The sequence below is a fragment of the Homo sapiens genome, chromosome X, assembly GCF_000001405.40.
Source record: "Homo sapiens chromosome X, GRCh38.p14 Primary Assembly".
Lineage (NCBI taxonomy): Eukaryota > Metazoa > Chordata > Mammalia > Primates > Hominidae > Homo > Homo sapiens.
In genome coordinates this window covers 54,938,417-54,953,863 of record NC_000023.11, presented here as the reverse complement: position 1 = coordinate 54,953,863, position 15,447 = coordinate 54,938,417, and the positions used below count along the sequence as shown (strand labels likewise).

The 15,447-nt window shown below is 43.8% G+C and overlaps 1 protein-coding gene across 10 annotated transcripts in view, besides 1 other annotated feature; it reads left to right on the top strand.

Moving 5' to 3' along the window:
• The window catches only part of PFKFB1 (6-phosphofructo-2-kinase/fructose-2,6-biphosphatase 1), a 65,829-nt gene that overhangs the window by 44,926 nt on the left and 5,456 nt on the right, over positions 1 to 15,447 (top strand). For all 10 annotated transcript variants that reach the window (NR_073450.2, NM_001271805.2, XM_047442158.1 and 7 more), the window contains 3 exons: positions 1,752 to 1,959; positions 4,643 to 4,789; positions 8,321 to 8,425. Coding sequence is in view for 9 of the 10 variants with exons in the window: in NM_001271805.2 (NP_001258734.1) it covers positions 1,752 to 1,959; positions 4,643 to 4,789; positions 8,321 to 8,425 (460 nt within the window). In the remaining variant the exon portion in view is untranslated. The remainder of the gene's footprint in view (positions 1 to 1,751; positions 1,960 to 4,642; positions 4,790 to 8,320; positions 8,426 to 15,447) is intronic.
• Positions 2,694 to 3,194: an enhancer, noted in NCBI's record as "H3K4me1 hESC enhancer chrX:54977103-54977603 (GRCh37/hg19 assembly coordinates)". NCBI's record gives its function as "activates a minimal SCP1, AML or CMV promoter by ChIP-STARR-seq in naive H9 embryonic stem cells {active_cell/tissue: H9 hESC(naive)}" and the evidence as "EXISTENCE:reporter gene assay evidence [ECO:0000049][PMID:30033119]".

Here is a 15,447-nt window from a genome sequence, read left to right as displayed (position 1 = left end):
GAGAAATACAGAAAATATTCCAAGAGTAATAGCAAAGGTATGAAGACAAGAATGAAACAGAGAAGATATGGGTATGGGCATGGGACCATAAAGTGAGGCCAACTGGGCTCAGTGTGAGAAGGCAAAACCAGAAGATCAGACTAAGCTGAGGAATTTGGAAGCTCCTAGAGCCTCAAAGGACCTAGTGTTAGGAACAGACAGTAGCCAGGCAACAAGTTTACATCAGATATTTTCTATCCCTAGGCTCTGAGGGTTCTAGAAGAAATGATTGGAGAGGGGAGCATTCTGGGGTTCTTCTTCCCGAGAAGGTGGCCTTGGAGAAATCACTTTCTCTCTCTATGCCTCAGTTTCTTCATCTTTGAAACAGAGGTGATAATCTCTGCTCTGTAGCAATATTATGAGGATTCATGCGCTTAAAAGTTCCCACTCCCTGCCAGATGCACAGAAAGTGTTCAACAAATACAAGTGCCCTGTGGAAGCCATTAGGCACAGATGGGCATGATGAGTGTGGTGCAGCCATAAAGGGCTTCTCTAGGAAGAACTAGGGAGAGGCTTTCTGAAACCAAACCTATCAGCAACCTTACCTGCCTGGAGTTAGTGCAGTGCAGCTCTTTCCATTCACTCGGTTTTGTTACCATGCAACCAGGGCTGCTGGTGTCACCCCATTGCCCCAGCCTTCCACTCCTCTTCCCAGGGATTTCTCTGAACTCTGTACAGGCCAACAACTAAAGGATTTAATGCCTGGTACAGCGTAGGCCTCAGAAGTCTTGCTCCATGTTTCTAGTCTTCTGATTAGTCAGTGCCTATACTCCACCCTTCAGCTTCTACACAAACAGGTGGTTGAACAGTTTAAATATCATTCAGTATATAGGTATTAGTTCATGACAGAGCACAGAATTGAGGATACAGTAAGGAACTTGGGACAAGGACCACAAGTTCCCCAATAATGTTGTGGACCACCTCTGTATCCCCATGCCCCACTGCTTGGCACACCTTAGAGGGAGTGACTATTTATGGAATGAATGTTGAGCACTGATCATGTGTTTCCAAGTATTTGTTCCTGACTGGCCAGAGAGCTCCCAAAGCACAGACAGTGGGTCTCCATGCCAAGCACAATGCCTAGAACAGAGGAGTATGTTTGGAGTATGTTTGTTGACTGCATAGCAAATAGGAAAATAACCCAGGCCAACCCCACTTCTGAGTGAGGAGAGAAACACACACATGCACAGACACACATATGCACACAGAGGCAATCTGGTAGCTGTGTGTAGAGTATAAAAGACAATATGTAGCAGAGGCTAAAAAAAAAAAAAAGAGGAGTGAAGAGCTCAACTCAGGATCAGAAAGGGTAGAGGAGTGAACAAGTCAGGAGCTGCCAGTAAGACATTGGAGCTAGCCAGGGATGCAAAGGATACTGCTTCTCTCTGACTATGTTAGGGGTGTGAACCACAGAAGAGAGAACCCAGCTGCCTGTAACAGGATGAGTGAAGGTGAAAAGGCAGTTTGGCTCAAGTTGAGGCTGAAGGAAGGAGACAGGGGGAAATGGTAGCATGCAATGAGCTCCTTTGGGTGGCCAATAACCAAGTCTCTAGGACAGGTACTCGGTACAGGGCAAGGCATTGCATCACATTAGGTGACAGCTGGGTTGTGGAAGAGGTTTGAAAGGGTGTGTGGTTCGGGGTTTCTCTCGGGGTCAACCCTACCACCATTAGCCCCTGAGCTGCCCTTGCTCCTGCTTGGGTCTGGCCCAGCCACCTGTCCTACATCAAGATCTTCGACGTGGGCACACGCTACATGGTGAACCGAGTGCAGGATCACATCCAGAGCCGCACAGTCTACTACCTCATGAATATCCATGTCACACCTCGCTCCATCTACCTTTGCCGACATGGCGAGAGTGAACTCAACATCAGAGGCCGCATCGGAGGTGACTCTGGCCTCTCAGTTCGCGGCAAGCAGGTAGGGTGGGCCACACACACCCAGATGGGTTGGCTGGGCTGTCCTAGGTGGGCTGCAGGTGTAGTGGTGGCCACATTCTGGGTCCTGAGGTGGAATGACCCAGGGATGGGGGAGAAGCAGATTCCATCACTCCTGCTCTTCCACCCATCAGCTGCTCAGTCTGGACCCAGCCGCCGAATGGCTCCCAATGCCACCTGTTCTGCAGGTCTAAGAGCTTGGCCCTGGCACCCAAGGCCTGCCCAAAGCCAGCTGCTCCATGACAGTGACTCCCTTGGCCCTGCCTGACTGGTTCCCTCATCTTTCTCACGAGTTTGTGCCTTTGCTAGTGCAGCTTCCCCACCTGGTCTACCCTCTTCTGTCTCCTCTGTCAGTGGGTGACTGTCAGTGGCACATACAGCTGCCCTGAGAGACCCACCCTTGAATCACTCTTCTTCCCAATTCTGCCCTCCCGACCTTATCCCAACGCAGGTGTCACACTGGCAGCCCCTGTCCCCACTCATGACAGTGTCCTTCCTGCCCTCCCCACTCCCTTCCAAGGCCCAGCACCTGCTCCAGGAAGCCCTCCCCATCCTCTCCTCCCTCCCAGGCAGGTTGCCATGCCCTGGGCTCCAGCTCTCCCAGTTCTGGCCTATGTGTGGCTCTCCTGGCCTGAGTATCTTCTCCCCAGCCCGGCACAGTGACCTACTGGCTGGTTGCTGGCTGAATACAGGGATCCATTTCCACAGCATTTGGCCCTGTGCCTGGGCTTATTAGCACAGGTATTGTTCCTGCTGGCAGGACCGCTTGGGGATGGAACAGGTGGGAAATGAAGTGCAGGAAGGACAGTTGTTGTCATAATTGTCATTTATTGGACACCTATGCACAGTCACGGTGCCATCTGCTTCCGCATGTGTGGCTCATTTCATCTTCACCACAGGTCTGTGGGGTGGGCATTCCTGCCACAAGTTTATGGATGAAGAAGCAGAGAGCAGCCCCAGGGCAGGCGGCCAGGATGAGACAGAGCCAGGACTGAAAGCCGGGCCTACTGGCCTGCCCTCAGCTCCCCCACTGGAGATGGGGGGAGGTGCCCCAGGCAAGGCACTATCCTGGATGGCCACACCCTGGTGTCTCCCTTTCTGTTACCTCCAGACTGACAGCCTCCCCTCGAGGTAGACGCTGACCTGTGACTCCCTCATGTCCCACTCCTCAGAGCAGAGTCAGAGGCTGCTCGAGGTGTGACCCCAGCCCATGGCAGCCCCTGCAGCCAGGGCCCTCTTGGGTGGAGCCAGCCCGGCCCTGCCCACACAGCTCGGAGCCCAGCTGGACATGTGGCTGTCTCCACAGGGCACGCCTCCCTGCACACAAACCTGTGTGTGTGCATGCACACAGCTGGCGCCACCTTGACGCTTCTCACAGAGCACCAGGCCCAGTTTACAAAGCACCTCCCCGTCGAGGTAGCTCTCACTTGCGCAGCACCCACTGTGTACCAGGCTGTGGTCTGGGTGCTCCCCATCCACTATCTAAAGTGCAGCCCCCAGACAGCAGGCCAGATGAGACAATGCTCTTTGGATATGAGGCCAGAGAGGGGCAGGGATGTGTCCGAGGGCACAAGGGACCATGTAAGGGAGCTGAGGGAGTTTAACCTATGGCTCATACCTCCCTGTCAAGGGCTCCTTCCACCAGAGCACGCTGACTCCTGACTCAGGTCCATAATGAAATGTATGTATGAAACGCCTATAGCTGCATATAGAAATGTGTGCCTGGAACTTTGCACCTGTGCAGATGTTCCTAACACATGCCGTCAGCAGTTAACGACACACCTATACACAGAGGAGGAAATCACTAGCTCCTCTGGGCTCCCACAGCCCTTTATGGTTCCCCTCGGTGCTGCCAGTGTTTCCCTCACTGGACTGGCCATGTCTTGAGAACAAGAACACCCCAGCACCCAGCACAGGGCCACGAACACTCAATACATGTGTGAATGCCCTTAGAACCTGGGTACCAGGAACCCTGCTTAAGCAATAAGTGTTCACAGTGTCAAAAAGTAATGTCTCCCAAATCCCACAACCCCTACTTCCAGTCCATACTCTGGGTAACCCCAAACCTAGAATTCTTTGCCCTTTTTGTCTAGAGTCCGCTTTCAGTGCCTACATGGGCCTATCAGTGCCTACATGGCCTGTCCACTTGAGGTCAGGCCATATCACACGACCAAGGGGTTGCTGTTTGTGGAGCATGGGGATCAGTGGAGGTGGAAATGTGGACAGAACTTGGTCATGTGACTTGGTTATCCACAAGCATGTACTAAAGGCACGTAGAAGTGCAGGATAGAGCCAGAAATGGAGAGATAGACTGTGCATGGAGTGCCTCCATTGGTACTCTTGTCCCAGGCTCCACAAATGTTAGAGGTGGGCCTGTTTGAATGAATGAATAACCAAGTAGGGGCTTCGGTGAGCAATCGTCAAATAAGCGCTCTCTCTCTCTCTCTCTCTCTCTCTCTCTCTGTCATGCTCTTTTCTATTCCCTTGGCCCACCATCACATTGGAAAGAGTATGGCTTTTTATAAGTTTGGAACATTTAAACTCTTTGCTCTGCTTGTTCATCACCACTCAATTTGTGGCAGATCTGAGCTTGTTCTGATGGCCACCCTGCTCTCTCTCACCTCTCCTTTTCCCCTTCTCTCCTCCTCTGCATCCCCACATCCTAGTATGCCTATGCCCTGGCCAACTTCATTCAGTCCCAGGGCATCAGCTCCCTGAAGGTGTGGACCAGTCACATGAAGAGGACCATCCAGACAGCTGAGGCCCTGGGTGTCCCCTATGAGCAGTGGAAGGCCCTGAATGAGATTGATGCGGTGAGATGCATGGGGTGAATCTCCTGTGTGTGGGGGTGACTTGAGTCTGGGATTATCCCCTGGGTTGCCTCTGCTCCAGCCCCTATGGGGAGCCTAATTAATTCAACAAACTTTTTTGACAACTAGCCATGTGCTAGACCTTATTCTATGTCTTGGGGATCCAGTGAAGGCCAGAATAGACAAAGTCTCTGCCCTCATCCTAAAGACAGACAGTAAATAGGACATTACATCTCAGTGTGACAAAGGGCTATGAGAGGAGAAGTAGAAGGGATTATGGAGGATCAGAGGGTAAGGGTGCTCCTGACTCAACTTGGTGCTGGGGAATTTACAAGGAAAGCTTCCTGGAGGAAGCTAGAGGTGATATAAGAAGGAGATGAAATGGTCTGGGGAGTGGGGAAATAAATTTAATTCAGAGACAGAAAATAACTCATGTGAAGACCCAGAGATGAGAAGAGAGCATGGCAATTTCAGGGGATTGAAGGAAAGAATAGCACAGAGGCTGGGACAGCAATAGTGAGATCTGAAGAAAAGGGAGATGAGGCTAGAAAGGAAGCCAGGCCACCAGGCTTTATAGTTCATGTTGAGGGATTCAAATGCTGCCCAAACAACAATGAGATGTCATTGATGGGGTCCACATCAAGTAGGAGTAATCTGAATGTGTTGCACATTTTTCAAAAAAGCCCACTCTGGGCATGTGTGGAAACTTGGTGGGAGGAAGGCCAGAATGAACAAGTAGACCAGTAAGAAGTTGACTTCATTAGTCTGGCAAGAGGTGGGGGCATGTTGAACCAGAGTAGTGGCATCGGAGATGGAATGAAGAAGGACTTTGGGAATGTTTCAAAGGTGGAATCAGGCCAGGTGCAGTGGCTCATACCTATAATCCCAGCACTTTGGGAGGGCTAGGTGGGAGGATCACTTGAGCCCAGGAGTTGGAGACCAGCCTGAGCAACATAGTAAAACCCCATCTCTACAAACAATTTAAAAATTAGCTGGGTGCAGTGGTGCATGCCTGTGACCCCAGCTACTCTGGAGGCTGAGATAGGAGGATTGTTTAAGCCTGGGAGGTTGAGGCTGCAGTGAGCTGTGATCATGCCACTGCACTCCAGCCTGAGTGACAATCAAGGCCCTGTCTCAAAAAAAAAAAAAAATTAAGGTGGAATCAGCAGGGCTTGCTGGTGCACTGGCTGTAAGGGATGAGGGAGAGGGAGACATGAAGGACCCAACCCTGGTGGTATAGCAGTCTCTCTTCAGGGTCAGGTTCTTCCATGAGCTCTTTGAGAAAGGAGCTGTTTCCTCTCCATTGTTCACCTGCACTGTAGGTACAATGGCACTGGGCAGCAGTGCACAGGTTATGATTGTTAGGCGTCAACATAAAAGCTTCACCACTTGTGTAAATAACTTGCGTGTGGGTAGGTTAACTTACTTGCCTGCTAGATATGCCTCTATAGAAACAGACATATATGTGTGTGTACATTCATACATATGTGTATATAAATATAGAGGTACAGAAATACACATAGTTAGAAAAGGGCTATACAGCATTGTTCTGTATACCACATACATTTGCTGTAAAATATATGCAAGCAAATATGAAATTTCTTCATCATAAGTTTGGTGGCTTCTTATTTCTGGCCCACATGTGGTATAAACATTTATTGAACCCCTCCTTGTTTCAGGTTCTGGAGTGATGCTGGAGGTGGAAATTGATCTAATTCATTCCTGTCTTCACTGAATTTTCAGGCTAAATAGGGTAGACAGAGGAATAAACAGAGAAATAGAGAACAGCATGTGTGATACAGGCTCTGATAGGTAAGACTATGGGTGCATAGACTTTGGGGCAGGACACCTAACTCAGCCAAGATCTACCTGGAAGAAGTGATACCTAGCTGAAGCCTCAGGTTTGAGTAACAGTGAACCAAGTAGAAAGGATCAAGAATGACATTCCAGGCAGAGAGACAGGGATAGGGAGCTTCATAAACAAAGAGGGTATTGTATGTGTGTGGAAATGCTAAGGTTGTAGTAGTACAAATGGAGAGGCTGGAAAAAAGGAATCCATTTGAGAGAGCTTTAGGAGGTGGAATCTCAGGAATTGGCTATGAGGGGTGAGTGAGGAAGAAGCAAGAATTTAGGATGAAGATAAAGCAAGAATTTACGTTTCTGGTTTATTTTCCATGAGTAATAAAATATTAATACTTCATTCTAATGATTGAGTCTTTAAAATGTCCCTTGCGCATTCTGTACTAGTATGTTTTACTTACATTTTCCCAATATTCAAAACACTTCTGTGAAGTAGTTCTAATTCTCCACATTTTGCAGATAAGGAAAGTAAAATTCGGAGAGGTTAAGCAATTTGACTCAATAAGGAGTCAATGACCATTTCCATAGGCGACAGGCTCCTAGTACTCCTCAGAATAGAAAGTTGAAGCCAATCTTGAACGACCTCGTGTACCCAGTAGGGTGCACTTTCTTCCATGGGCAGTGTGGGTTGGAGAAGTTTCACACTGCAGAGATGTTTGTGGGTTGGGGTAGGGGTTCACTTCCTCACCCCTGATGGGGGCATGGTAGATGGGCCCAATAGACAACAACCAGAGGCCACTGGCCCCCTACAGGGAGATTTAATTGGAATCCACATACCCAGAAGGAAACCTTAGAAACCCAACATCACTTTCCACCACCAGCAGCAGTCACCTCACCTCTGGGAGTTTCTCAGTAGACTTGGAATCTCTCATAAGCTCCTTAGGAACTCATTCTCTGAGTACTCAATTCCTTTTTTGAGTGAGGAGAGTGTATCTCCCCCAAATCCACTCTGAAACCATTAGGAATTTGTTAATTTTTCCTGTCTGAGATGTCTATGGATGCCTGTTTATCTGCCAGAGTTCCCAAAGTAGAGGTCTTCAGACACAGGCACACAGATACTCTCACATATACACCAGAGACATAATGAGGGACATATACATTAACAGACACACATGCCACAGACACACTGAGACCTGCATGGAAAGACCACATGGACACATTCTCAGATGCTTAGACACCCTATACACACACATACACACACACACGCAAGCACACAACATATGCTGAGACAAATACACAAACACAAGGCATAAGTCTTTAAACATACCACAAGTACATATCATAAGCATGCTGCACACAGACTTGTAAACACAGCCACAAATCCTTATGCCCATATATTTATAAAAATACATACTTATATGTATAATGTACACCTACAGACCTATCTGTACAATCATAGAAAAACATCATACACTCAGCCTGAACACATCTACTCACATACACTCACTGTCACATCTACACAGCCACACACCTCACACACACACACACACACACACGCACACACACACACACACACGCATACACACTTATGGACAACAGGCACAAACCCAGAGCTGTGTTCACAGAGACCCAGGTGCTCATGTGCTACTGTTTCACAATCATCGAAGAATTATGGCAAAGACTCTGTGGAATTTCATCTTGTGAATACTTTCGCCCCCAAATACTTTTTCTCAGGGTGTCTGTGAGGAGATGACCTATGAAGAAATCCAGGAACATTACCCTGAAGAATTTGCACTGCGAGACCAAGATAAATATCGCTACCGCTATCCCAAGGGAGAGGTAAGGTTTGCGGGGTGGCCTAATGCCTAGGACTACTCCCCAGTGTCTTCATTGCAACTGCTAGGATTCCACAATTGTCTAGACAGCTTTAGAAACAGAGTAAGCATATCTTGCAGCAGCTGCCATCCCACAAGGCACATGATTATCTGGCCCTTGGTTGTTTTAGATTCTTGGCTATAGGCAATAGATCCATCCCTTTCTTTTAAAAGCTACATAATTTTCTTGCTTATTCTCTTTCTGCTTCAGAAGTGCTGACTTTATCCTGGACCTTGTCTCTGGTATCCCTTCATGAAGACACTTTAAATAGTTCAACATACTCTGATTTCCTGATATTTTGTTGCCAAGTTGCCTAAAGCTCCAGCCTGTCTGGGCAGTTGGCATTGTCCCAAGGGACAATGGCTAATAATTTAATCAACTTCTTTGCCACTACATGAACCAGACCATCAGTTCCCTATCCCCATATGAGATGAATGCTCATTGCTTTTAATCAAGCCTCCACTTAACCAGTTCCACATTTTAGAGCATTTATTAGTCATACTTTATTTCTGATATAAATGGCTGGGAAAAGTTATTAGAAAAGAAGGACATCTGGGAGGATAAAACAATAGATATTCTATTCAGTTATACAACACTTTCACATTTTTAATCTTCACCCACAGAGATGACATTATAAAATTCATCTTAATTTGCCCTCATTTTCCTTTAGGTATTTAGAGGCTATGTTATTAGAGGTATACAAAATTAAAGCAATTATGTCTTCTCAGTGAATTGCACATTTTATTATTACATAGTGACCAAACCTCTTTCTCCTCGATAATCCTTTTTGCCTAAAAACGTATTTTATCTGATATTAATATAGCTGTACAAGATTCAGTGACTTCTGGTGACTCCTTACCTAGTTCACTTTTAGCTATTCATTTACTTTCAACTTCTCTGTGTATCTTTGTTTTGTGTCTCTTATAAACAGCTTATAGTTGGGTTTCGTTGTTTTTAATCCAAACTGAAAATATATGTCTTTTGAATGGTAAGTTTGGTATATTTACTTTTATTGTAATTACTAACTTTTTTAGTTTATTACTATTATCTTGTCTTGAGCTCTCTGCTTAGTTTTTTCTCTTTTCCTGCCCTCTTTAGGATTGATAAAGTTTTTATATCCATATTTAAGTTATATAATTTGTTTCCATTCATTTAGAGATTACCCTTAACATTTTAAAAATTTTTCATCATGATTCTTTCAATTTTTAGTTGATATCTCAATAAGGATGTAAGGTCAAAATGTATTTCAAAATCACTCATAATAATTTTTTGCTGAGTGCTATTATGCAACCAACTTGAATCCTTAACATTTTAATATTCATTATTAACAAAATCTAAAATCAATATCTCTACCCTCTACCTAAACAACAGAAGAACTTTAAAACCCTGGCCATTGTGTCTCCTAATTTACATGTTAATTGTTTGTATTTTAGGTCAAACTTGGTCTTAACCCCCAAGTGAATTATTCCTGTTGTTGTTATTATTGTATGCAGTCAATGTTTATTTAGATTTAACCACATGCTTACTAATTCCTCTGATCATTCTTGCCCCTTGCACCTCAAATCTTCCCTCTGAGTTCATTTTCCGTCTTTCTTTTTTATTTTTATTTATTTATTTTTTATTTTATTTATTTATTTATTTATTTATTTTTTGAGACGGAGTCTCGCTCTTTCACCCAGGCTGGAGTGCAGTGGCCCCATCTCGGCTCACTGCAAGCTCTACCTCCCAGGTTCACACCATTCTCCTGCCTCAGCCTCCCGAGTAGCTGGGACTACGGGCACCTGCCACCACACCTGGCTAATTTTTTGTATTTTTAGTAGAGACGGGGTATCACCGTGTTAGCCAGGATGGTCTCCATCTCCTGACCTCATGATCCACCCACCTCGGCCTCCCAAAGTGCTAGGATTACAGGCGTGAGCCACCACGCCCAGCCTTCCATCTTTCTTTAGAAGCTTTTTTAGTGAGTAAACACACCCTTCTTTTTGTCTAAAAATGTCTTGGTAGGAGGGGGTCCTCAATCCTAGTGATGCTTGGCTGGGTAAAAACTCTAGGATGACAGTTGTTTTCTCTCAGCACTTTGAAAGTATTACCCTCACTGTCTTCTGGCTTCTACTGTGGCTAGGAAATCTGCTGTCAGTCTAGTTTTCTTTCCTCTCTGGCTACTTTTAAGGTTTTTGTATCATTGTTGCTTTAAAGTTTCCCTCTAATATGTCTAGATGATAATTTCTTTTCATTTATTAATGTATAGCTTGGGATTAGTGAGACTTCCTGAATCTGAGGACTGGGATTCTTCTTCAAGTCTGGAAAACTCTCAGACAATTTATCTTTAAAAATTCATCTCTCACATTCTATTATCTTCTTCTGGAAATACAATTGGATGTATGTTACTCCTGCCTCTATTCTTCATGTCTCCTAACTTTTCCTTCCTATTTTCTATCTCTTTGTATCTTTTGCTGCATCCTGAGTAATTTCTTCAGCTTTATCTTCTAGTCACTATTTAAGTAGTATCCAATATGCTCCTTACCCCATACACTGAGTTTTCAATTTTAATGACTATTTTTTATTTCTGAAATTCTATTTAGTTATTTTTCAAATCTACATTGTATATTTGATGGCATCTTGTTTCTTCCTTACATTTTTTATTCCACCTTTTATTTCTTTAAAAGTTTCAAACATATTTATTTTATATTGTGGCATCCCTTATCTTAAGTTTTTAGGGTTCTCTTCTTGTTTCTGCTTATTCTCACTCATGGTAGCTTATTTCCTTGTGTGTTATATGAGCTCCAGCTTGTCAAGAATTTATCTATGGAAATCTCACGCAGCCTGAGTTGAGAGAATCCAGAGAGATTTCATTTGCTTCTTCTAAGCAGTCCTGGGAGCTAACGACTTGGGATCACTTTTTATTAAACTCTCAGCATAACATTCTTCAAACCAAATGGATAGTGTAGCTCTGAATCACCAGCCCACCTGAGGGAAGTCTGGTGGTTATAAATTCTTACAGGATTTTTTTATTATAATTTAAGTTTTAGGGTACATGTGCACAATGTGCAAGTTTGTTACATATGTATACATGTGCCATGCTGGTGTGCTGCACCTATTAAATCGTCATTTACATTAGGTATATCTCCAAATGCTATCCCTCCCCCATTCCTCCACCCCACAACAGGCCCCGGGGTGTGATGTTCCCCTTCCTGTGTCCAAGTGTTCTTAGTGTTCAATTCCCACCTATGAGCGAGAATATGTGGTGTTTGGTTTTTTGTCCTTGAGATAGTTTGCTGAGAATGAAGGTTTCCAGCTTCATCCATGTCACTACAAAGGACATGAACTCATCATTTTTTATGGCTGCATAGTATTTCATGGTGTATATGTGCCACATTTTCTTAATCCAGTCTATCATTGTTGGACATTTGGGTTGGTTCCAAGTCTTTGCTATTGTGAATAGTGCCACAGTAAACATACGTGTGCATGTGTCTTTATAGCAGCATAATTTATACTCCTTTGGGTATATACCCAGTAATGGGATAGCTGGGTCAAATGGGATTTCTAGTTCTAGATCCCTGAGGAGACGCCACACTGACTTCCACAATGGTTGAACTAGTTTCCAGTCCCACCAACAGTGTAAAAGTGTTCCTATTTCTCCAGATCCTCTCCAGCACATGGTGTTTCCTGATTTTATATTGATCACCATTCTAACTGGTGTGAGATGGTATCTCATTGTGGTTTTGATTTGCATTTCTCTGATGGCCAGTGATGATGAGCAGTTTTTCATGTGTCTTTTGGCTGCATAGATGTCTTCTTTTGAGAAGTGTCTATTCATATCCTTCACCCACTTTTTGATGGGGTTGTTTGTTTTTTTCTTGTAAATTTGTTTCAGTTCTTTGTACATTCTGGATATTAGCCCTTTGTCAGATGAGTAGATTGCAAAAATTTTCTCCCATTCTGTAGGTTGCCTGTTCACTCTGATGGTAGTTTCTTTTGCTGTGAAGAAGCTCTTGAGTTTTAATTAGATCCCATTTGTCTGTTTTGGCTTTTGTTGCCATTGCTTTTGGTGTTTTAGACATGAAGTCCTTGCCCATGCCTATGTCCTGAATGGTAATGCCTAGGTTTTCTTCTGGGTTTTTATGGTTTTAGGTCTAACGTTTAAGTCTTTCATCCATCTTGAATTAATTTTTGAATAAGGTGTAAGGAAGGGGTCCAGTTTCAGCTTTCTACATGTGGCTAGCCAGTTTTCCCAGCACCGTTTATTAAATAGGGAAGCCTTTCCCCATTGCTTGTTTTTCTCAGGTTTGTCAAAGATCAGATAGTTGTAGATATGCAGCATTATTTCTGAAGGCTCTGTTCTGTTCCATTGGTCTATATCTCTGTTTTGGTACCAGCACCATGCTGTTTTGGTTACTGTAGGCTTGTAGTATAGTTTGAAGTCAGGTAGCATGATGCCCCCAGCTTTGTTCTTTTGACTTAGGATTGACTTGGCGATGCGGGCCCTTTTTTGGTTCCATACGAACTTTAAAGTAGTTTTTTCCAATTCTGTGAAGAAAGGCATTGGTAGCTTGATGGGGATGGCATTGAATCTATAAATTACCTTGGGCAGTATGGCCATCTTCACGATATTGATTCTTCCTACCCATGAGCATGGAATGTTCTTCCATTTGTTTGTATCCTCTTTTATTTCATTGAGCAGTGGTTTGTAGTTCTCCTTGAAGAGGTCCTTCACATCCCTTGTAAGTTGGATTCCTTGGTATTTTATTCTCTTTGAAGCAATTGTGAATGGGAGTTCACTCAGGATTTGGCTCTCTGTTTGTCTGTTTTTGGTGTAAAGAATGCTTGTGATTTTTGCACATTGATTTTGTATCCTGAGACTTTGCTGAAGTTGCTTATCAGCTTAAGGAGATTTTGCGCTGAGACGATGGGGTTTTCTAAATATACAATCATGTCTTCTGCAAACAGGGACAATTTGACTTCCTCTTTTCCTAATTGAATGCCCTTTATTTCTCTCTCCTGCCTGACTGCCCTGGCCAGAACTTCCAACACTATGTTGAATAGGAGTGGTGAGAGAGGGCATCCCTGTCTTGTGCCAGTTTTCAAAGGGAATGCTTCCAGTTTTTGCCCATTCAGTATGATACTGGCTGTGGGTTTGTCATAAATAGCTCTTATTATTTTGAGATACGTCCCATCAATACCTAATTTATTGAGAGTTTTTAGCATGAAGGGCTGCTGAATTTTGTCAAAGGCCTTTTCTGCGTCTATTGAGATAATCATGTGGTTTTTGTCATTGGTTCTGTTTATATGCTGGATTATGTTTATTGATTTGCATATGTTGAACCAGCCTTGCATCCCAGGGATGAAGCCCACTTGATCATAGTGGATAAGCTTTTTGATGTGTTGCTGGATTCGGTTTGCCAGTATTTTATTGAGCATTTTTGCATCGATGTTCATCAGGGATATTGGTCTAAAATTCTCCTTTTTTTGTGTCTCTGCCTGGCTTTGGTATCAGGATGATGCTGGCCTCATAAAATGAGTTAAGAAGGATTCCCTCTTTTTCTATTGATTGGAATAGTTTCAGACGGAATGGTACCAGTTCCTCCTTGTACATCTGGTAGAATTCGGCTGTGAATCCATCTGGTCCTGGACTATTTTTGGTTGGTAAGCTATTAATTATTGCCTCAATTTCAGAGCCTGTTATTGGTCTATTCAGAGATTCAACCTCTTTCTGGTTTAGTCTTGGGAGGGTGTATGTGTCCAGGAATTTATCCATTTCTTCTAGATTTTCTAGTTTATTTGCGTAGAGGTGTTTATATTATTCTCTGATGGTAGTTTGTGTATCTGTGGGATCGGTGGTGATATTCCCTTTATCATTTTTTATTGCATCTATTTGATTCTTATCTCTTTTCTTCTTTATTAGTCTTGCTACTGGTCTATCAATTTTGTTGATCTTTTCAAAAAAACAGCTCCTGGATTCATTGATTTTTTGAAGGGTTTTTTGTGTCTCTATCTCCTTCAGTTCTGCTCTGATCTTAGTTATTTCTTGCCTTCTGCTAGCTTTTGAATGTGTTTGCTCTTGCTTCTCTAGTTCTTTCAGTTGTGATGTTAGGTGTCAATTTTAGATCTTTCCTGCTTTCTGTTGTGGGCATTTAGTGCTATAAATTTCCCTGTACACACTGCTTTAAATGTGTCCCAGAGATTCTGGTATGTTGTGTCTTTGTTCTCGTTGGTTTCAAAGAACATCTTTATTTCTGCCTTCATTTCGTTATGTACCCAGTAGTCATTCAGGAGCAGGTTGTTCAGTTTCCATGTAGCTGAGCGGTTTTGCATGAGTTTCTTAATCCTGAGTTCTTCTAGTTTGATTGCACTGTGGTCTGAGAGACAGTTTGTTATAATTTCTGTTCTTTTACATTTGCTGAGGAGTGCTTTACTTCCAACCAGGTGGTCAATTTTGGAATAAGTGCGGTGTGGTGCTGAGAAGAATGTGTATTCTATTGATTTGGGGTGGAGAGTTCTGTAGATGTCTATTAGGTCCGCTTGGTGCAGAGCTGAGTTCAATTCCTGGATATCCTTGTTAACTTTCTGTCTCATTGATCTGTCTAATGTTGACAGTGGGTGTTAAAGTCTCTCATTATTATTGTGTGGGAGTCTAAGTCTCTTTGTAGGTCACTCAGGACTTGCTTTATGAATCTGGGTGCTCCTGTATTGGGTGCATATATATTTAGGATAGTTAGCTCTCCTTGTTGAATTGATCCCTTTACCATTATGTAATGGCCTTGTCTCTTTTGATCTTTGTTGGTTTAAAGTCTGTTTTATCAGAGACTAGGATTGCAACCCCTGCCTTTTTTTGTTTTCCATTTGCTTGGTAGATCTTCCTCCATCCCTTTATTTTGAGCCTATGTGTGTCACTGCATGTGAGATGGGTTTCCTGAATACAGCACACTGATGGGTCTTGACTCTTTATCCAATTTGCCAGTCTGTATCTTTTAATTGGAGCATTTAGC